Here is a 23,014-nt window from a genome sequence, read left to right on the forward strand (position 1 = left end):
TAAACACTGAAAAAGAAACTAGAAATGGAATGGAGTAGAAAGAGAGGCTATCAAGGAAGGGGTTTTTTGGAAATACAGAAATTTCATCTGAAACCTGCAGCGCACCCCACACCCATGACAGAACGACAGGTGCAAAGACCCTGAGCAGGAACGAGCTTGGCCTGCTGGGGGAAGCCAAAGAGCCAAGGAGTCCGGAATGTGGGGAGTGGGGAGCAGAGTCCAGGATGAGGGTAGGGGGCAGGCACTGCACAGACATGCAGGGCAGTGCAGCCCAGCACGCACTCTGAATGTCATGAGATGGCCCAGGGGAGGATGATTGAGGTGAGGGTTGGGGTCATATTTACGTTTAAATGTGACTCTGCCATTTCCCACATCATCAACCTCCATGTGGCTGAATTCACTGGACAGTCCTGGGCCTCCCATCATGTAACCCATCAAAACCATTTTGCATAGTTGGTGGCTCCCCTGCTCTAGAAACAGTCTTCACCTGACTTCCAGGGACTCTGTGCTCCTGAGTTTCCTCAAACTCCACTGGCCGCTCCCTGCCAACCTCCTTTGCTCCGTCCACATTTCCCTAACACTGTGACACTTGGCTTTGTGGCTCAGAAGGTGGTTCTCTATCTTGCTTTCACTAATTATTTTGCATGTTATACCTAGAGTCCTCCCCCTACCCCAGGCAAGTATTCCAGTGTGTTTCTTAAGTGTGTCTATTTGTATGCATTCTTGAGAAACGTGCTTTTCTCTGTAATGTGTCATGTTTCATTGTATTGCCCACCTAGTGTCTTCTCAGGGTATAGGTTCTGTCTCAAACAGGACTGTGAGGCCCTTTGGCCTCATCCTCCCCTCCCCTCCCCGCCACATTCTGGGTCTTCCTGGCACCCCAGATCAGCTTTGTCTGCCCGTGAGACACGGGGGCCACACAGGCTTTGCCTCAGGCTGCACCAGGACATTCCCCAGAGCTGAGTCCTGTCCACACAGCCTGCTTGCCGGAAACCATGCAGGACCCATCTTCCTCCTGCTCTGATCAAACCCCAAGAACCACATCACCGGGGGCCATGGCAGGGATGACCTTCAATGAAAAAGAACCATTTGCTTATTCTCTTCACAACTGAACACGAGTGAAGGGAAATGTGCATCCACTTAAAAGTTCGGCTCCTCTCTCCACAGACCAATCCCCTCCACTCCTTCACTTTGTTCAAATTCAGTCACTTATCCATACTCCAGACATGGCCTGAGCATGCCCTCATGCCAGTCTCATGCAGACACCATGCAGGAAGGGCACAAGATAAGGCATAGGCAGCCTAAGGGCAGCAATGCGTAAGGAGAGCACACAGAACTCAGGGAGGAGCCAGAGGTGGCCACTGCCTTTGGTCCTAACCCTTTTTGGGGCCTCAGGGCCCCGCATGTAAAAATGGGCTTCCTAAGAATATCCACCTTGGTGAGATGTGGTGAGGAATGAACATGGCAGTGGTGTGGCTTAACATAGCTGCTAGTAACAAGAAAAACCTAGTCCATGAGACATCTGCTCCACGTGGACAGGATGGGGTGACCCCGAGGGGAGGATACTAACTTCCCCCGGTGGTGGGGGTGGGCAACCAGGGAATGCTATACAGAGCAGGTGTCATGTCTCTGGGGTTTTGCAGAGAATAACTAAGCATAGGGTAGTTGCTCCTTGAGTTTTTATTCATTGTTTTAGCAGGAACTATTAACAAATAAAGGCTTTAGTTTCATACAAACAAACTGACAAAAAAGATCTTATTTCTCTAGAGGGTAGGGAAAGTATAAAATTCTGAATTTTCATGTCGAGTGTGAGCCAAGTTAGAGGAACTTGGCCACCTGCAAACCACTCCCTCCCTCCATGGGAAGGAATCTGAGGCTTCCTAGGTGACCAGGAGCCGGGCTTCTTTTGTTGCCTTAATTTCCTTTCACCTGAGAGAAAATGAAAGCCAGGGTCTTTGTGCTCCAGGCCAAGGCCCAGATGCTGGCTGCCTGCTCCCCAGATGAGACTTCCTGGGCTGCCTCTCCCAGCACCATGTACCCTAGAGAGAGGCCAAGTCCCCAGTGTTCCCCTGGGGCCCATGGAGGCCCCTGCCTGAGCCTGTGGTCCTGGGAGCTGGGGAGAAGGTAGAGATGCTGCTGTCAGAGGTCCAGGCTAAGGACAAGTGGGGCAGGTAGGGCAGGTGCTGCTGGCCATGGATGGAAAGGCAGGCAAGTTCCAAGACCTTAGCAGGCCAAGGACTGCTCAGGCCCCTTGGGAGCAGACCCGCTCCCCAGACAGTCACCTGGCAAAGGCAGAATCTCCTCATGACGTCTCAGAAGCTTGTCCAACACCAGAAGGCAAGCCCCGCCTATTTAACATGAGGCCATAGGACCAGCCTCCCTGGATCCGAAAGGGCCACTCACTCCCTCCAAATGCACTCAGCCTGCAGGGGATACAAGGGACCAGGGAAAGAGAAAGACTTGAGGGCCTCTGTCTAAGGGGCTGGCCATCTGTGCTAGGACAAGTTGCTGCTTCTGCTCCAGGAAGCCCAGATAGGACTGGACTGGACTTAGACCACTTACCCCAGAAGTCCAAAAACCCAATCTCTGCATGTCTCTGAGTGGTCAGGGGGCTGGGATTCTAAAGCTGCTGGTCAGTCCCTAACTCCAGCCTACCCTGATGGGCCAGGTAAGCCAACTCACCCTCAGTCATCTTCTGGGACACATGAAGCAAACAAAATAGCCCTGTGGTTCTGTCTTCACTTTTCAGACAATTGCCCACGGCTCAACAAGAGCTAGTGGGTTAATCCCCTAATTTCCAGTAACCTCAGGCCTTCAGGACAGAGTCCATGGCCTCATTTCTGAATCTGCTTTGTCATTGTTTGAGCCTGTTACTGGCATGAGACAACGGTGGGGGAGGGGGTATGTCACAGGCTCCTGAGTCAAAGCTCCTAGTTATACATCTAGGTCTAAACACGTGGCTGTGGGACCCTGTGGAAGTTATCCAGACTCTCTGTGCTTTGCTTTCCCCCATCTATAAATGGGATATAAAAGGTACTACCTCATCATGTTGCAGTGAAGAAAAAACGAGATCAGTTATTAGCTGGGTCCCTCGCACATTACAGGTGCTTAGGAGACATCAGTCCTGCTCTAACCCCTGCCACATGCCTGGCCTGGGTGGGGCTTTCTGGAGACCCTGGCTCAGGGCACTGGCTGCCTGTGAAAGGGGGGTCCAGGAGCCCAGGCCCACAAGGAGCCCTGAGGCCTGTTGAGATGTGCTGACCTCACCTGGCACAGGCAAGGGGAGGGAGGGGGAGCTGGTCAGGGTCCAGCTGTTGGGGGAGACGAGTGAGGGAATTCACTCTTGACGGGGGTGCCTTTTCCACTAAATTAACATTGCCCCAGTCTGAGGGAGCAGCAGGAGAACACCATGCCCATCCTTACATCAAGATCCAACCTCCAGCACCAGGAAGCCCCTGCCTCCAGCTGGCCATGATGATGACAGGACAGGCTAAATGAGAGGGACCTGGCTTTGCCCTGAGGGTTGGTGGGTGGGGAAGGCGATCAGCAGCCAGGCGTCTGGGGAAGAGGAGCATGGCCACCAGGTGCCTCCAGGGTGAGACCAGGCCCAGCTCCCCCTGGCTCTAAAATACAAGCTTCCTGGGAACCTCCCATGGGAACTCGCTTCTTCCGAAATGGCCGTAGCATGCTGTCTTCTGGTAGATGGGCTTCTTCAAGTCCAAATCCCTGCATGTCCAGCAGAAAGGAAGGGCATTGGAAGATGGAACAGGAGCAGGGTTTCTTTCTCCATTTCAAGGACAGGAGGGAGCAACGAACTGTAACACAGCCCTCCTCGCATGGCACTACGCCTCCCCACCGCAGTTGCGCGCACCCATCCTATCTGTGCCATACCCTGGTCTCGTTTTATAGCCCCACGGATGCTTAGAGGTTCAGGGACCAGGATCTAACTCCAGCCTTCCGGTGCTTTTCTCCTCCCACTCCACTTACCTGGCCCAGGCCAATGTTGACACCACTAAGCTCTAGAAACGGAATAGACTTGCTGACTTGATTCCCAGCCATTTGAGCTATTTGGCCTTATATTAATAATTATTTTCCTAAGATCCCCGCCTGCCTCCCAGTTGCTCAGAGATGGCCCCACTGGAGTTGGTGTTGACTGGGCCAGCAGGAACCTGGGGCAGCCTCCTTTAACCTGACAACCAGGCTTTCTGCACTGGGGATGCACTGTGCTGTACCAAGAGCTCACAGACCCTCCCACTTCTGAGAGGCAGAAACATCCTCCTTTCTGCCTCCCTTTCAGGTGAGGTGAGCATCTGGGCAAGGAAGGAGCAAGGTCCTGTGTAATAGCAGCGCATGGCACTTTACCTGACAATGACGCCCGGCCGGAGGTCGAAGTTCTTATGCACCACATCCAGCAGCTCTCGCTCTGTCTTCTGAGAGGTTCCGTAGGTGAAGATGGAAATGGACAGCGGCTCGGCCACACCAATGGCATAGGAAACCTTCCAGCAAGGTGCAGCGTCAGGGATTGAAGCCTCTGTGTGGGCCCTGCCCCTTTCAGAAGCTTTGCCCTTCTTCTGAAGGGACCAGCGGGGACCACATGCCTCTTGCCCCACATGCTCCCCTGCAATTTTCCTGCTATCTTCACCGAGGGCAGTTCTTCTACACGCCTCTCTCCCTGAAGATTCTGGTTTTCCCTCCCCTAGGTTTTCAGAGCCCTGGCCACAGTGCCCAACACAATCACACAATCACAACCTTTGGCAAAGCATGCAGCTTTCCCACCGGGCCAACATCCCCTCACTCAGGGCAGAACTGGGCAGGGGTCCTCCACTGCAACAGGACGGTGGTGGGTGGAGGGGGCTTACCTGGACAAGCACTCTCCGGCAGAGCCCTGCTTTCACCAGAGACTTGGCCACCCAGCGGGCAGCATATGCAGCTGAGCGGTCTACCTTGGTGTAGTCCTTCCCAGAGAAGGCCCCACCACCATGAGCCCCCCAGCCGCCATAGGTGTCCACAATAATCTTACGGCCAGTGACACCCGCATCCCCCTGCAGAGGGAGAGAAATCAAGATAAGAAGCAGAGCCAGCCCCTAGATGCTGGAGGGGGCTGAAGTACTGTGATGGCAGCTGAACTGCAACTCAGGAAGGATGTCCTGGGGCTGCCCACAGACATTTTCCTAAGACCCCTTAGCCCAGAACTCTGGACTCCACTCCCAGCTCAGTCACTGACAACATATTGAAAACAGGTAACCTGCCAAAGCTTCATTAGCAAGTGCAGAAGGTGGGCCAGGGGTTCTCTGGGGTCACAGCCACTCCCTAATGCCTTTGTTACTGAGTCCATCACAATGGAGAGATCCAACTGCAGGCAGGAACTGCACTGTCATAAATACAACCCTGGCTGGTGCCACCTAGCAAATGCCATGCTGCCCACTTCCCAAGTGTCCTCTGGGCAACACCAGTCAATAGTGATGTCTTTAAAAGGGTGGGAGTTCTATGTTAAATGATTTGGGGAAGTCTGCCTGCTCTACTCCCCCTTTTAGAGATCCACAGTTCATACTAGTATGTCTAGGCTTTGAGAAGTCCTGCAAGAAAAAACAATAAGTGTTACCTCCTTCTACTCTGTGTTTCTACACTCTACTTGCTACTGGAACCCGGGATGGAGCTCAACTCTGGCAAAGCACACACGGCTGAGGGCCCAGGCAGTGGGCAGCAGCCTCACAGCAGTGCCCTCAACCTCCACCTCCTCACACTTGCAGTACAAGAGAGGGGGCAGTGGTGCCCTGTCTAAAACACCCTGTCCCACTCTGGTGCCCACAACAGCCAGAGGCAGCCTGTGGTGAAGATCTGGAAACAGCCACCCGGGAACAGCTGTCCACGTGCAAATGCTGCAGTGGGGAATGTGCACCAGAGCAGGGTGAGGTGCAGCAGCCGTGGGTAAGGTCGATGGTCACTTGAGATGGCAGGAGTGGGAGGGCCCAGTGGCGCTAAGTGGAGGAATCCTAGGGACATATCCCCCATTTCTTGCACACTGTCAGACACATAGCAGACCTCCCCAGAGAGTGCACTAAATGTACAGAGGCCAAAATTCACCGACTTTACATTTAGTCCATGGCCAGAGTCAGCTGACCCCCTCCAAGCTATCTCTTGAGGTTTTCCTGCTCTGAGACATAAGCAACCCCAGTAACAAAGACAAACCAGGGCTTCGTTCAGAGACAAGAATGCACCTGGGGACCTCCGATGACAAACCGCCCACTGGGCTGCAGGTGGTAGACGGTGTCTTCGTCCAGGTACTTGGCCGGCACCACGGCCCTGATGACTTGCTCCTTCAGGGCCCTGCGCATCTCCTCCAGCGTGATGTCTTCGTTGTGCTGCACAGAGATGACGATGGTGTGGATGCGCACAGGGATGACTGCGCCATTGTCCTGCATGTACTGAACTGTCACCTGTCCATCAGAAGGGTGGGGGAGATACTGTGAGGCTGAGGCTGAGCGAACGGCACATCGTGGCCAGACACAGGCACCCAGGAGGTGGGCAGGGCTCCCAGGAGCCAAGTGGGGCCTCCTGTCTTCAAAGGGTGTTGGGGGAGTTAATCTGACACATTCTTACGTTCAAAAAATTGCCTGGTGCTGTGGGAGGACTGGGTGTAAGGCCCAGCTATTCCCACATGGGGCCACAATTAGCACTGCTTGGAGACTTGAGTTTCCTCTCAACTTCTGACCCACTACATGTCTCCTCTTCTGTCTCAGAGGCTTCCAGGTGCCAGCAAATGTCCCCCTGGCCAAAGCCCTTTCTTGACCCTCTATAGCCCAGGAGGTATCTCTCCTCCTGCCAATGATGCAGATAAGAAAGCCAAGGATCCAAAATGTAAATGTCTTGGTCAAGATCACACAGTCGGAAGAGCTGGGATCTGACCTGGAGCTGCATGGGCTGGTAGACAGGGCTCTTCCAAGAAGAAGGTTGGATGCCACTCAAGACCCTGTGCTGGCCACAGGCCCAATACTGCCGAAAGCAGCATGGACCCACAAGAGCAGGGCTCAGAGGATTTTAGGGACATGTGGTGCCCGCAGGGGTGCAGCTCTGCCAGATGGCCCTGGGAGGGACACTGGCCAGTGAGTATGGGACTGCTCCCATCCCAGGGCCTGGACAGAACCACGGGGCAGCAAACAGTGGCTCCCTGGGACTGTGCCTGCAGCAAACTCTCTACCTCCCCAAGGCTACTCAGGTATCCATCAAACCCTGGATCTGTATCAAACTCCTACTCTGTGTTCTGCCTGGTCTAAGGAGCAACAAGGAAGGTCCAGAAGAAGTAGGAGAAAGAGTCCTGGCCATGTAAGATCTGCATGAGATGGCCCGATGCACACAGACATCGTGAGCTGAGAGAAGTCCTCAAATGCCAGGCTGTGCACACACACGGCCCTGGGAAAGGGGCTGGAATCTGGGGTAGGGGACTCCCAGGAAAAGAGGCACTGTCTGTGGCAGACTCTAGGACTGGGTCTAGTCTGCATGGAGCCTCGGGAGAAGGTGCACAGCTGGGGAGGGTGCTCAGGCCGTCTCCACTGCTCCCCTGGGTGACTCCACCCCCACCCGGCAGACTCCACGCAGTGGCCTTGCAGAACTGCAGAATAGGGCAGCAGAGCAAAGGGCCCTGAACACGGCGCTTATCTCATCATGTCAGCAAGATGTGGGGAAAAACACACCATGGAAAACACAGCTCTGACTAGGTACAAAAATAGCCATCCACACTGCCACCCAGGCCTCACTATCAGCAGCAGGGATTTGTTCAGGTGGAAAGACCCATCCTGCTCACAGCCAGCAGTCCAGCTGGATGAAGACACTACTTCAAAAACAGGGTGCGGAGCAGGGGACCTAGACAAGCTGTGCCTGGCCCAGGGCCTCTCTCATGGAGGGAGTGTCTAGAGCAAGCCAGGCTGTTCGCAGGCCAGCTGGCGAGGGGCCTCCTGGAGCCCCACAGCAAGTCTGCACCCCCTGAGACTGGAGCTGGCCCGCGGTCCTGCCTGTGGCAGGGAAGTGAGGCTGACTCTGGTATCTGTATTGGCATTTTCGAGACAATCCTTCAAAGGAAGGGAACCCCTAAAAGAGCCCATCCCACCCTCCCTTCCTTGCTGACCCCTAAACCTAGAAACCTTCTATTTCATATCTAAGCACAATGAACCTGTTTCAGCAGGTCCAGTAGGTGGTCCCTCTGTTCCTCTCTCTTGCACAAGGAAGAGAAAAAACAGTCAGAGCCACTGGCTACCTCCCCTCCCTGTTCTAAGATTTCCCCTTCTGTGAATCTTCACCCTGCTTCTATATCGCAGCACCATTCCAGTCCAGGACAGGACAGGCAGGCCGACATCATGGGCCCCTTTCTTTGGGTGCCATCACGATCTACATGTTTTAGCTCTCCTAACTCACAACCTCCAAGAACACCCAAGGAATGCTGATGGTTCCCATCCCCACCTTGGGGGGTCATGTGGATAACACAGGAAGTCCCAAGGAAGGGTTCCCTTTGGGCATAAGCACACTTCCCTGCCCCAGTACAGCCAGTATGCAACCTCTGCCCTGTGCATGGTCTGACACTTGCACAAGAAGGAACTCCATCTCTGTACAACTGGAGTTGTACATGGAGCCACACACAGCACGCTGAGCTATAACACCATGGGTGCCAGATTCCAAGTGCAGGACAAGAGAAGGCGCTGGCGCTGTCTGCTAGTGGCCAGGGATGGCATCCCAAAAGAGGTAGAACTTTGCTGGCCACTGAAGGAGAGGTGAAGACCAGAGAGGGAGCTCAGGTAAAGCAAAGCCCTAAGAAACAAGGGGACAATGAGTGAAATGATGTCGATTAAGCAAAGATGGTGTGGGGCAGGCAGAGGCAGGTAAAGTTGGAAGACCATAAAAGGTTGTGAATGCCAGAATAATAAGTGGATTTCCCCCTTCCCCTTGTAGGAAGCCCAAAGTTGTAGAAAACACTGAATAGATGTTAGGGAATTAAAAATGAGGCCTAAAGGGGATTAGCTGGAATTTCCAAGCAGGGAGTACCTTTGGAAGGATAGGCCACTGATCCTGGCCTGGCTGGGATGATGGCAGCCCTGGGGAAGGCTGAGCTGGAGCGAGAGGGGTGCTTGATGGGGTAAACTGGGGACATGGGTAGGTGGAGAGAGATGGCGCTGAACAGGACGGGGGAAGGGCAGGAGGGAGGTGGCAGGGTGCTGCACACGGCAGGCTCTCAGGGCCCATCTGCTTGGAGGGTGATCAGAGAAACCCACAGGTGGGAGTATGTGAAGGTGACAATGGGGTCCACGAGCATGGACACAGGGAGAGAAGTTGTGCAGTATGAAGTGCTGGGAACTTGGGAATCATGAGAGGGCTCATTGGGGTTAAGCAGGGAGGGGATACAGGGGTGAGGTGCCAGGAGGCCTGCGTCTCCACTAACACTTGAATCACCTCAGCCTTCAAATATAGGCCTTGGGTTGATTTCAACACTGCAGGGAGAAGACAGGTCAGGGCCCATGGGTTTGGAGCTGGAAACAACAGACGTAAAGCCTTTTCATGAGAAACAAAGATGAGAAAAAGGGTCATGATGAGACAGACAGCACAGACAGACAGCACAGACACAGCACAGACAGCGCAGACACAGCACAGACAGACAACACAGACACAGCACAGACACAGCACAGACAGCCTGTTCAGGACAAAGAGGCCTGAAAATATGGAAGCCAGTTAAGTATGTTTGTGGCAGGATTTGGGGACTCATTAGTCAATGTTTACTAATGAGCAAACAAAAAAAACGGAACTATTCTTTTCATTTCTCTGTATTTTTGAAATTTTTTATAATAAAATGTTGTGGGAAGCATCTCTAGCTGAAGATTTTTCACATAAATAGTTCTTTTCAAAACTGACCATTCTTTGAATGCCCAGATTGAATATTTCGATCTTAAAAATGACACAATCAAGAATCAAGAGGATTTGGGGGTATTAAAGCTTCTGTCTAGGGCTCTCCTGGGGTAATTCAGCTGCTCACCTGAGTCTTAGAGTCAGGCCGCAGCCAGGGGAGGAGGCCGGAGCGCCTGAGGTCTGCCATCCGGGCGTTGAGCTTGTGAGCAAGGATGATGGTGAGGGGCATGCACTCCTCTGTCTCGTCGGTAGCATAGCCGAACATCAAACCCTGTGGCGAGAGAGCAGGCTGAGCGGCGCCCACCCTAGACCAAGAGGACCGCAGCTCTCTCCAAGCCTGAAATCTCCCTGGTGTGTCCACGTTGATTGGGTGCCTCCTCCATGGAGCTTTCCACTGGCATGTGCAGGGGAAGGACGTCATCCCTGACCCCCAACACTCTAGGAGGGGGAGACAAGCCCAAACCCAGTGTCAGCAACCACAGCCATCCACAGCACGGCCGTGAAGCTGGGGTTCCCAACTCGCTCCTGGCTATCGTGCTAGGACAAGAATCCACCCCTCAGTGTGATTAACCCACTGCTCATGAACTTTCCCAGCCAGCTCAACACACAGCTCCCACATGCAGTGCCGAGCTACCTGATCTCCTGCCCCCACATCCTCCTCATTTCTGTCCAGATGGACGCACTGGGCAATATCTGGGGATTGCTGCTCCAAAGCCACCAGCACGTTGCAAGTCTTGAAGTCAAAGCCTAGGCGGAAGCAAAGTGAGCCTAAGTGGGGAACAGGTCAGAAGGAGGGGGCCACAAACTTCCCAATGGATGGCTCGGTTCCTGACATGCCATTTGGTGTCAGCGTGGGGGTTCCCTAACTAGCCAGGGTCTGTCTAGGCCCACAGCTGAGGCCCAGGATGGGAGAGGCCCCGCACCTTCCCACCCTATCATGTAGAACTCTTTGGCCAACCAAAATTCTCCGTGGTGCATTTTACTGTGCTCAATTAGACCTTGGTTAACACACACACACACATCCTACAGAGACCTGCAGATTAAAACAAGGTGATGCCAAGGCTCCTCTGGCTGAGGACGGTGGCTGACTCATACCCTGCCCCTCAGGCTCTCCCACAGGTGCCTCCCAGAATCTAGTTTGAGCATCACTGCACTAGGAGAAAATCAAGAGCCCTTTTGATACTGTCACTCAGAAGCCCAGCTGTATGCCTGACACAACTATTAAACATACTGAACAAATACAGTGTACATGAACTATCCAGACAGACTCCCCAAGCCAGGGTCCTCTGACCCTGAGAGGTACACAGAGTCTGGGGCAAATGGAAAAGCCACCTGCCCTTTCCCATCTACAAAGCTGAGGCACAGGGTGCAGGCCTGCTACACCTAGCACGCGAGGCACTGGTTTGGGGAAGTCTGGACTAGCAGTAGCTCAGCCCTGGGAGTCCCATGAGGAAACTGCTATGCACCGAGACCGTGCGCACCTCCTCACAGCTGTGCTGGGCTCAGTCACAGGGACTGTGAGAATAAGGGACTGAATACATGGACGCCCCCACCACAAGGTCAAGCATAGTGACACACTCACTCTCCAAACCCCCACAGCCATCTTCCTTCCCATCTATTCTCCTACCCACACAGCCTGAAAGGGCTTACAGAGAAAACACACAGATCCAAGCTGCTGTTTCTGTACAAGCTTCAGGTGGGGATCTACTGCCAAGGAATAAAACTGAAGCTTTTCAGTCTGACACAGCCCTTGCTCCTGGGACTCCTTGAGCCAACATGAACTCAAGTTTAGCCATCAGCATGATATACTTTTCCATCTCCACTAGGTCCCTGCCTAGAACGTTCTACCTCCAGCTCCCACCCCACATGCCCAAACCCCACGTCCACTCTCAGTGCATGTCCCTGGACCTGCCTGCAGTTCATTAGACACAATGCCAGGAACTTACCCCAGGGCACCTCATGTTGCATCATATACCCTGGGAGTATCAGGTCACCTTTGCCCTTTACACCCTCCTGTTTCCTAATGAATGTTTTTGAATGCACAAATCAATGAACAGTCTTTAAAGAACTGCCAAAAGCTGTCCTGTTCTGCACTGAACATTTCAGTTTACCTAATCACTGTCTGTCTAAATAATGAATCTCCCCAGGGCTCAAAAATCAAGCAAGGGCTCCAAGGAATTTGGAAAAACAGAACTTAGGGGACCAAGAGGGGAGGTACAGGACTTGGAAAGGACAATGAGCCCAGCAACACCGCAGCCAGGAGCAACGAGGAGCCACTGGCCTGAGACCCTGCTAAGGCTGTTCCTGTCCACTGAGCACAGGTAAATGGACAAGCTTGGGCACAGGGAACCTCAGCCAGCTGAGCTCAACTCAGCCACGGCTGGGCTCTCGCTCATTTCTCCCTTTCTAGGGAACATTGCCTCCTGGAAAATTTCCCTCCTGCCTAATGCAGAAAAAGTTTTGCACTTGAATAAGGTCTAAATGTACATAAACAAATTGGCTTTTTTTTTGGTAGAACAGGCTCCGTGTGGTAACGCCTCAGGAAGCTGCAGCTCTGGGACAATGTGTTTCCTCTGTGAATACCCTCATGTCCCGACCAGGAGAATTAACTGGTTCTTACTGCTTCTCTTCCCACTGAGTCTCAAAATCACTGTCATGCACTCAACCAATATTAATTGCTCATGAGTGCTTTGGGCTGCACCAGGCCATGGCTGGACTGAACCTCTGCGAGTCTGCACCATCATACCATGAGTGGGCTCTCTCACTTACAAACGGGGGTCCAGCACCCTGACCCACAGGATGCTACACATCACCCTAGACAACGATTATGTGACACAGGCAGAAATGAACACCTTTAAAGTCATGCTTCTCTCTGTGCATCTTGATTACAGGTGTATAGCTAGGCAGGATGACCTGGAAGTGGGTCTTTTTGCCATGGCGTGAGGTCATCACATCTCTCACAGTGATTTCAGAGAATTAGGGAAAGAGCTAACAGAGACCCAAAATGAATTTTTCTTTAAAAATTAGAATTGCCTGAACATCTAATGCCAGAGACCAACGTGGAGACTCTAAGAATTGGGGCCAGAGCCCTGCCCAGGAAGCCAGCATGGACAAAGGGCCCCTGAAGCTCCTGCAGAATGTGATCGCATACAGGCCCTCCGCACCTGGTGTCTGCTCTCTGGGTCCTTTGCTGCCCTCCAGGCTGTGCCGCTGCCTGGCCTGCTCAGTCTCAGATGTTGGAATCTGCTTCAAAGTTCTGCTAGGGCCTGTGCCCCTTCCCTGGGTGGTGGCCCCACACTATGTAGCACTGGTGCTAACCTGGACCAGCCTCGCCTGCTGTCAGCACCAGTTCTGGACTGAGTCATCTTGCTCCATGTCTATGATTGCAAGTAGGTTTAGTGGAAGCACAGGAGTCCTCAGCCTAGTGGCTGCTTACCCTGTGATCTCACACAGACTGTTTACCCCTCTAGGCCTCCATTTCCTCGTCTGCATAAGTACATAAATGATTAAGACAACACAAGAGACTATCACCAGTGCCTGGCAGCGAGCATGTCCCCAAAGGAGGGCAGCCCCCTTTATTCAGTGCATCTTTCTCTTCCAAAGCCTTTGGCAGCGCCAAGAAGGCAAGGCCTAAAACAAGCCCAATCAACAACAGATGGGCATGTGCTGGGCCCACTGGGCATAGTCGCCTGTTGGCCATCCTTATGCCAGAGTCTTTGACCCCTGGAACCTGACAGACAAGTGTAGGAGTGTTTTCCTCCTGGTAGTATTGATGCTCCCATCGGGCTGAAAGGCACGGGTTTGACTCAGCACTGGGGTCTCTATCAGCAGAGAGCAACAGGGATTTCAGACCCGGAGGCCTGCCCTCACCCTTGGCTGAGTCATCGTAGCCGATGTGCTTGATGGTGTCCCTCACCACCCGCTGGTAGTCCACCATGGCCATTGAGGTGATCTCACCACACAGCAGCACCATGCCGGTCTTGCACACTGTCTCTGAAAGGGAGCGGGGAGCGAGGAGAGTTAGCAGCCAAGTGCCAGCAAAGGGAAGCTCACATTCCCAGACCTCTCACAGTGCAGACAGAAAAGACACAGGAGGGGCCTTACGAGGAATGGATTCCAGAAGGAAAATAGAAACGCCAATAAAAAGAAAAAATCCCAGCACCAAGCACTGAGCATCTTCCAATGCTGTCTTGGAAAGAGTCAGTCATAAGCTGTGATCCTGGACAACTTATTTAACCCCTCTAAGTCTCTGTTCCCTCATCTATTTAATAAAGCTATTTATAAGACTGCTATGTGGATTAAAGGGAGATGATGGTTGTATGTAGCTGTCATAAAGAAGGTAGTCCACACATGTGACCCCCCATCCCCCACATTGCTAAACCTCCACTGCAGGCTTTAGGGAGTGGGATCTGGACCAAAAAAAATCAAAGCAGGCCAACCTTCTCTCCAGATATTTACAAAGATATAAGGGTAGAATCTACCTTCAGAGGGGCATGAGTCCCTGTAGTATTCAATACAGGGCTGAGGATGCAACCAGAGAGGGAAGGATGGGTCTGTGCAGTGGACAAGACATGACAATGACAGTAAGGAGAGCAAGGCTCTGGTCTTCACACTGGGGCACCCTACCCCATGGCCTTGGCCAGGCCCTGATGCAGAGGGTACCGTGATCCTGTCTCTAAAATGAACAGGCTGGACCTGATCACCCTGGGGCCCCTCCAGACTCCAGAGTCCATGACTCTGCCACTGTGCCACAGGCTTCAAGCCAGGCAAAGGTTTTCCTGCCAAACAACTTATCCCACAAATAAAGGTGAAGATCTTCAGCCTACATGAGTCTTCAGACACAATAAATTATGCAGATGGGAGCCAGGGCTTCAGTACTTTAGTTTAACATTAATGTCTCTTAGGAAAGCCATTGATTTATTGAAAAACAATTGGTGAAGATGTTGCCTTCCTGTTGCTATTAAATGGGGGACACTAATTATTTTAAAACCTAAATCATACCACAAACTAGGAAAGAAAACAAGAGAAGAAGCCAGGTATCTGTGCAGCCAACAAAGGCTCCTACAATGAGGATGCAGCTTATAACCATCTAGGCAGCTACCTGTGTTTCAAGCTCTTGCATCCCGTCTGGAAGATTCACCTAAGAACTTTGAAAGACCTCCTTGTTCCCAATGAGATCAAGCATCAGAAAGGCCATGTGCTGGTCCAACCCTCTGCTATTTATGGTTGCTATGACATTTAACGTTAGATTCTTGCTAAAAATAATTATCTATTTGTTTCATGGTTAGAAATGTTTTTCCTCCCTGTTACTACACAGGGGAGGTCTCATAATTGAGAAATCTACTGCAGAGCAGAGGACATGGATTTTGGAACTGAGGAGTATGGCTCGTTTGTCTTATACCCATGATTAATTTCTCAGTCTAGCCCACTTAGGTCTCCAGCAGGGAGGGATCGGGTGTTTCTTACCACAGGCCACCTTGGCATTGGGGTCTTGCTTGAGATGGGCATCCAGCACTGCATCACTGATCTGGTCACAGATCTTATCTGGACAAGAGCAAATATGGGTCAGAATCACAAAAATATTCGGGATAACAAATTGAAATCTTAAAATAATTAGATATCGACTTTTCAGTTTACATATCAACTTATCTACCAGAGGGAAAACACTTTTTTTAAGTATAAGAAATTAGAAATACTTTGAAATTTTTATTTATTTCCATTCCTGCCTAATTTTGGATGACACGTATTATATAAAGTCATAGAATGCCCTAAAAAAGAAATACCTTTTTTTTTTTTTTGAGATGGAGTGTCAGTCTATCACCCAGGCTGGAGTGCAGTGGTGTGATCTCGGTTCACTGCAATCTCCACCTCCCGGGTTCAAGCAATCCTCCCACCTCAGCCTCCCAGGTAGCTAGGATTACAGGCTTGTGCTACCACGCCTGGCTAATTTGTTTTGTATTTTCAGTAGAGATGGCGTTTCACCATGTTGGCCAGGCTGGTCTTGAACTCCTGGTCTCAAGTGATCCGCCCACCTCAGCCTCTGAAAGTGCTGGGATTACAGGTGTTAGCCACTGCGCCCGGTCAAAATCAGCTCTTCTAGGAGTCTAACGCAACTCACACATAAACAAACACACACGCATTCTTCTAAATAAAAAATCTCTCATTCCTCATCATGTTCCCTTTAATTCTAACATCTACAAAAGTCCTGAAAATGAACTTAAAAATAGTTAAGAAGTCAATTTTACCTCTTTGCCAAGAGGTAAAATCAGACGGCTCAAACAGCTGCATTGCATGGCAGGTTCCACAAGATGCAATGCACCGTATATAAAACACCACACCCAAGTACATGACTCCACCCATAAGAATTCTACAAGATAACCCCTATACATCATTGTTGTTTTGCAGAATACTTCCATAAGCAGCTCTCAGATCTCCCACATGGTCACTCAGCCTCCCGAAAGCCAGGTGTCCTTAGAGCTGGGCTTGACCTCTTCAATTACTGTAGGACTGACAAGGGTTCAACATGAGCTGGAATTTGATTTTATTCTTCCACTATTTGCCTTAAAGACTCTGCAGGGTCTAAAATGTAAAGCACTAAATGGTGCTTGTAGGAAAATCTACTCTTGCTTTGGGGTTATGCAAACTGTCAATATCTACAAATTAAGAAATAAAAGTGATCTCTATCTACATATATTATAGCTCATTCAGTGTTAAAAATACCCACAGTCTGCTCTTAATAGAGTAATATGTTTTTGTTAAGAATCCAGATCCAGAATCAAGCAGTTTGGCTCTCAAAAGCAGATGTTAAATTCTGTAATTAAAGATATTCATTAATTCCTTAATCTTTCCTTTAGAAACTACTGCTAAACATATGTTTGAGGTTGTGTTTTGTTTGTTTGTTTGTTTGTTTAATCTAGCCTCCTGCCAGTGGCAGACCCTGGTAGTACCTTTAGGTTTGTCTGAGCCCTTAGCCTCTACACACTTCTACCACTGAAGGCCTCTCGCTGATAAAATATCCTAAAATAAATACATGCTGGCCACCTTAGGCTTACCCATCAGAGTTCCTAGAAGCTTGCTGACTGATCATTGATTGTGAATGTCTCTGCCTGTGCAGACACAGCTCACAGGCTCCCACTCTGCCTAGGGAAATCCAACAGGAGAAGGAACAAAGCTGGAGTCCAGCAGGGGCTTCCAGATAGCACCACACACAAGACAATGCCCAAGGAGGTTGTTTCTGAATTGTTTTTGTTTTTGTTTTGGCTTTCAAAATTTTTATCAATATCACTTAGTAGGCTTAAGATAGCCAATAGTTGTTTTTTTGGAAAACCAGAGAAGAAAACCTTTATCTTTCTAGCAGAGAGGAATTCAGCAATGGAATGACAAGCAGAAAGTCACCTAGCCTCCATGGAAACTGACTTACCTGGACAATTACAATGGCAAGTACAAGGGACGATTAGACAAATTGATTGGCTGTCATTAAGTATACAAAACAATCAATTGATTGGCTGGCACGTTCATTCTCAGTCCTCTGAGCACATTGCTGCTGCGCACAATGGACCATTCTTGGGACCACTAGCCGCTGCATGCCAAAAAACCCACTTCCTCCGGGTGGAGTGAATCTTTCTCCTAACCTATACATGAGGCTCATAGCCATGGAGCTGATCAGAATGTGTCAGAAATCAGCAATGTATCTGAGATTGAAAATACAGTAAACCTAGATACTTTATACAGTTATGCACAATGAAAGAGGCTATTTACATTGAACTGAGCTAAGTCACATAAAAAACTCAATTCAATTCAAGGTTTTTCAACAGCTGCACTATTAACATTTTGGGCCAGATAATTCTTGAGAGGCTGTCCTGTGCACTGTAGGATGCTTAGCAGTGTGCCTGACCTCTACTCAATACATGGCAGTAGCACCTTACCCCCACCTCCTATAGTTGTGATAACTGCAAATGTCTCCAGACAGTACAAAATGCTCTTGGGGGTTGTGGGGCAAAACTGCCACCAGTCAAAAACCACTGGCTAAAGTATATGGAAGGAGTAGTGCACTGAGGTGTCCAAAGCCAAGTTACAAGGTAGGAAAGATAAATATCTTTGAGGAAGAACAAGAGCAAGGAAGATGGAAAAAGGCAGACTTGGCAATAAGTTAGCAAACACTCGAATGAATTTTGAAGAGGGACTTAACTATAGAAGTCTGTACATCTATCCCCCAGGGGTCTCCAAGAGCAGTGGTTCTCACCCCAGAGCATCAGCATCTCCTGGGAACTTGTCAAAAATGCAAATTCTCGAGCCTCTCCCAAGACCTACTGAATCAGAAACTCTGGAGGGTGGGGCCCAGCCCTCTGTTGTCTTGACAAGCCCTCTGGGGGATTCTGAAGCTCCCTGAAGTTTGAGAACCACTGTCCTACACTTGAGGCTCTGAATGTCCTGGTCCTAGTTCTCACCGTCATCAAGGAAGCTTCTCTCACTTCCGCACATCACAGTCTACCTACTTTTCAGGGACCAAAATCAATGCCTAAATTTTCTTCCTGTTTAGAAGGTCTTCTATTCTGCTCTTAGAGAACGTTACTGAGTCCCCAGCACCTAGAGGTCTACCCCAGCAGTGACCAGGGTGCAGGCTTTCATGCCTAAGTTGCACATGCTTCACATGCAAAATTTAGTCACCCATGGTCTTGTTTCAGGAACATTCCCTGTTGACTTAAATTGGCCATGGATAATAGATTAAAGCTTTCCTAAAAAAAAAATACATATAAAAAGTTAAGACCTGATCATATATTTTGCATGTGTCATACTCTTAGCCAGCCAGCTGCTACTCCCTGTCTTGGACCCACTGTGCTGGCGTGCTGGTGGTGGGCCACAGCACGGCTTCATCAGGAGGGACTGTTTTATGAAACTACTCCATGCTGTTTCTCTAGAGATCCCTTCTGGTAACTCACACACATTGCTCTGAAGAGCTCTGGTAAAAGTGACTCCTACAGGTACGAAGTTACAGTCAGATAGGAGGAATGAGCTCTGGCATTCCATTGCGCAGTAGGGTGACTGAAGGGCTAGAAGAGGGAATTTTGAATGTTTTCACCACAAAGAAGTAGTCAATGTCTGTGGCAATGGGTATGCCCATTATCCTAATTTGATCATTAAATGTTATACTCATGGATCAAAACAACACACGGTACCCCATAAATATGCACAATTATTATGTGTCAAATTAAAACCATTTGTAAGTGACTCCCTCAGTATAGGCTTGGAATGATCGTTTTCCAGTCAGTCCAAGACAGCCTACTTACCCGGGTGTCCCTCTCCCACAGACTCCGATGTGAACATGAAGACTCCTTCACTTAGAGAGTGGTCACACAAGCCATCCACCGGTCCATTCATCTTCTCACACTTCTCCACTCACGCTTCTTTCAGTGAACAATTTTGAGGCTGTGACTTTGCCTGAGTTTTTTTTTCTTCTTCTTCTTCTTCTTTCAACCCAACAGGCTTGTCTTTGGCAGAGCCACGGGGATCACTTCTGCCTAACTGCCTGTGAGCACGTGAGAACAGGCGAGGACTGCTGAGAAGGGAGGGAGTGGATGGAACACGGGATGTGTCCCTCCCTCCAGCTTGCCACAGCTTGCTCCTGAGCGACTCCTATATATGGAAAAGCGAAAGTGCCTGAAAAATCATGTGAGAAAATTGGAGGAGTCCATTTCCTAAGAGGGGGGTCTTCTTACCTGGAGGAATTTCAATTCTTATCCCTGACTTTCCAAACTCTAAGCACCTGGTCAAGGTAAGGTAAAGAAGGCTGTATAGTTCTGCAGAATTGAAGCTCCTTTGGGACTCTCCTTCAGCTCTTAGCCAATCTTGGTAGTGCTCCAGAGTTCACAACCCACCTTGGAGAGCAGGGGTCTGTGATCACCCAGAGATACAAGCAGGCAACAAGAAACTCTTTCTCAGAGATATGGTTTAGGCTAAGATTGCAACAGTGCCTTTGCTGTTGGGTGTCCCCTCCTCCCCTGCGTCTCATCTGGATTGGTCTCTTCCCATTCTATCTTCTCAGGGAGAGCAGGAGCACGCACCTGTATTCTGAGCCAGCTGTGATGTTACACAACAGATTCATTTTAGAGGAAAAGCTTTGAGTCCACGTGTTTCTGCTAACAGAAACCACCTAACCTGTCAACTTCTCTAAAAGGCTGGCAGGCATTTTAACAAGCAAGATCTTTAAAAAGTATCTATCTGGGGAGGTTACAGAGAACAATGTGTGTGTGTGTGTGTGTGTGTGTGTGTTTTTTTTAGAAAAAAATGCTTTTGAGAAATGGATTCATTACAGGGAAATTATCAAAGTCCAGTTTCCCAAAGCTTCCGGATTATAAACATCTACATATTCAGTTCTATACATGTAATAAACATCGTGTTCACATAACTCTTGCATTATTTTTTGCTTTGACCAAAAAAAGTAGTAAACAGGATTATATCTTTAGTTCATGTACTAAATGACAGCGTCTCACACTCTCAGATCCAGCTGCATCCTCAGACCCAAGGAACAATGGGGAATTGAGACCACAGAAAATGAGGATGGGTGGAGAAACCAGTTCCCACTAGAATGCAATAAAAAGTAATCAACCATAACCTTGTGCATCAAAGCTTGGACTGTGGGAAGCAAAAGTTAGGAAGCAATAGCCTCACCTAACAATTCTGGTGACCAAACCCCCCTCTGAGTTTATTATCAAGCATTTGGAAAAATTTTTTCTGGCACACATTCTGGTGCTCCAAAGCTTGAGTTTTGCTAACTGATGACCAAACATCATCCCTTCAGGGAATTAAAGCAGTATTAAGGTGACCTCTTCTGGAATAAAGTAAGGGATGTTACATATGCATAGCCAATCAACGGCATTTAACAAGGAGTGAACTGAAGTGCTTAGGCACAAGACTGTTGAAAGTTCAGAGAGGAAAAGGCCACTGGGAAGGGATGGACAAACGAGGAATCAAATAGGGACTTTAGACAACATCGCCTTGTCATTGCCAGCACACAGGACTCCTCTGTTTGCACTTAAGCTATTTCAACATTGCTGGCCCTTAGTAAATTTCTTCTGGGTACATTAGTTTTAAACCTAGAGGCAATATGAGCTAATGTTTAATTTGAACTGTAGAACTAGGTGACCTTAGCAGTTAAAATTGTATGATAACAATTATGGTCCAAATTTGATTTAAGAACAAGATGATGTGTAAGTAGCAGGTACTCTTCAAGGTTCCTAGAGTTATCAGGAAGACAGAAAACAAAGCAGTAGCTGCCTTCTGAATTCCATAAGTAACAGCACCATGGGGTGGAAGGCGTCAGGGTGGGGAGACGATCTGTTACACAGATATGTGTGCAGGGGGCTTTGGCAGCCTGGATGCCAATTGAGGGTGTGAGGGAGGGATCTGAGAGGCACCTCGTTAAAAACTCATCTCAAGTATGAGTTTCATTTAAGACCCCAACTAAATACTAGGATGCCTTATATTCTTCTAGCAAGTAAATGTTAAGAAGCAGTACACGGAGCATGGTGGATGGAAGTGCAGGCTTCTGGACTAGGGTCCAACTTTTGCCTGTAACCTCCCATGCAGCATGGAGAAGGCTTCCTAACCTTTCTAATCTGTTGTTTCTTCTGCTGTAAAGCGGGTTAAATAATTACCTACCTCCTAGTGTTATTTTGAGAACTAAATGAGGTCATTTAGGTATGATGAGTATTGGACAAAGTGCTAGCACACAATACAAATTTAATAAATATCAGCTAATATTATTAAGCAGTCTATTTACATACATATGATTTTCCTCTGAACAAAAATAGATTATGGTATGTATACATATGTATGTATATGTGAATATACACATATACACATATAATTTTGCATCTCGCTTTTTTCCCCCCACAATATATCGTGGCCCTCTGTTCACATCTCTAAATACAGATAGGCCTTATGTTTTTTTATTGGGGGGGGATGAAGTCTCACTCTGTCACCCAGGCTGGAGTGCAATGGCATGATCTCAGCTCACTGCAACCTCCGCCTCCCGGGTTCAAGTGATTCTCCTGCCTCGGCCTCCTGAGTAGCTGGGATTAGAGGTGCACGCCACCACACTCAGCTAATTTTTGTATTTTTAGTAGAGACAGGGTTTCACCATGTTGGTCAGGCTGGTCTCGAACTCCTGACCTCGTGATCCGCCTGCCTCAGCTTCCCAAAGTGCTGGGATTACAGGCGTGAACCACTGCACCCAGCAGGCCTTATTTTTTAATACTTGAATAGTATCCCACAATAAGGATGTACCATAAATTATTAAACCATTCATTCCTCAGTGGTTAAATATTTTCAACTTCTCCAGTTATTTCACATCACTATAATGCTGCAGTGAAGGTCCTTATTCATCAGTATGTTTCTGAAAAAGATAATAATGGAAGGCTCTGGCAGTGCAGAACTAGCCAAAAGATTTCACTTTTGCAATGAATTTTACCTGATAAAAGAAGTAGCAATTCAACCAAGAGTTAAAATTGTAGTTTCAATCTACCCCCTTCAGAAAGAATTGGCAGATCTTAGCAAAGATGTAATTACTTTGAGAGTTGAACCTACAAGGACTTCATGGCCCTAATTTACCATCATAAACACAAATTAAGTCCTCCCTTACGCACAGCCTGTTCCCATCTCTCTTATGCTTGAATTGTCCCAATGGCCACTCCAAGCCCCAAACTCCACACTGGACTGATTACCTAAGTCCAATGTGTCAAAGGCACACAGTTGATCTCACTGACATGCAGCAGCCTTGAACTCTGAAGCTTCACTGACAAGCCTCTGGAGAAACTTGGCTTTCAAAATAAATCTCTCTTTCAGTCAGATTTACCCCGATGAATCTCTGAATATAAAACATCCAGTGGAAGACTGTTTCCAATAAGCAGTGCCTGTAAGTCCCACTGAGCAGTTTAGTGATGGAGCTTCGAGGGCACCTGACCCTAGGCAGCACCACGGGGCCGCAGGGGTGGTGGGGAGGCCCTGCCAGATGGTACCCTTTGCTGGCTCTGCACTGCCATGCCTGATGGGGAGGCCACAGGGAGGACCCTAGGTGCAGAGGTGGGGGGTGCAGGTGTTGTCTAAGTGCAAACATTTCTAAACTTTG

The 23,014-nt window shown here is 49.2% G+C and overlaps 1 protein-coding gene across 1 annotated transcript, besides 2 other annotated features; it reads right to left on the reverse strand.

Moving 5' to 3' along the window:
- On the reverse strand, positions 1,663 to 19,501 carry MAT1A (methionine adenosyltransferase 1A). Its single transcript, NM_000429.3, has 9 exons — positions 19,176 to 19,501; positions 15,355 to 15,432; positions 13,759 to 13,881; positions 10,523 to 10,635; positions 10,016 to 10,159; positions 6,219 to 6,437; positions 4,860 to 5,042; positions 4,363 to 4,496; positions 1,663 to 3,726 (listed from the first exon to the last, which is right to left on the reverse strand). The coding sequence occupies exons 1-9, from the start codon at positions 19,264 to 19,266 to the stop codon at positions 3,624 to 3,626; spliced, it is 1,188 nt and encodes a 395-aa protein (NP_000420.1). The 5' UTR covers positions 19,267 to 19,501; the 3' UTR covers positions 1,663 to 3,623.
- Positions 2,781 to 3,980: an enhancer, noted in NCBI's record as "CDK7 strongly-dependent group 2 enhancer chr10:82032694-82033893 (GRCh37/hg19 assembly coordinates)". NCBI's record gives its function as "activates an origin of replication core promoter dependent on BRD2, BRD4, P300/CBP, MED14 and CDK7 cofactors, with strong dependence on CDK7, by STARR-seq in HCT116 cells {active_cell/tissue: HCT116}" and the evidence as "EXISTENCE:reporter gene assay evidence [ECO:0000049][PMID:35650434]".
- Positions 19,336 to 19,630: an enhancer, noted in NCBI's record as "tiled region #13640; HepG2 Activating non-DNase unmatched - State 1:Tss, and K562 Activating DNase matched - State 20:ReprD". NCBI's record gives its function as "activates a minimal TATA promoter and a strong SV40 promoter by Sharpr-MPRA in HepG2 cells, with weaker activation in K562 cells {active_cell/tissue: HepG2 | K562}" and the evidence as "EXISTENCE:reporter gene assay evidence [ECO:0000049][PMID:27701403]".

The sequence above is a fragment of the Homo sapiens genome, chromosome 10, assembly GCF_000001405.40.
Source record: "Homo sapiens chromosome 10, GRCh38.p14 Primary Assembly".
In the NCBI taxonomy this organism is placed as follows: Eukaryota; Metazoa; Chordata; class Mammalia; order Primates; family Hominidae; genus Homo; species Homo sapiens.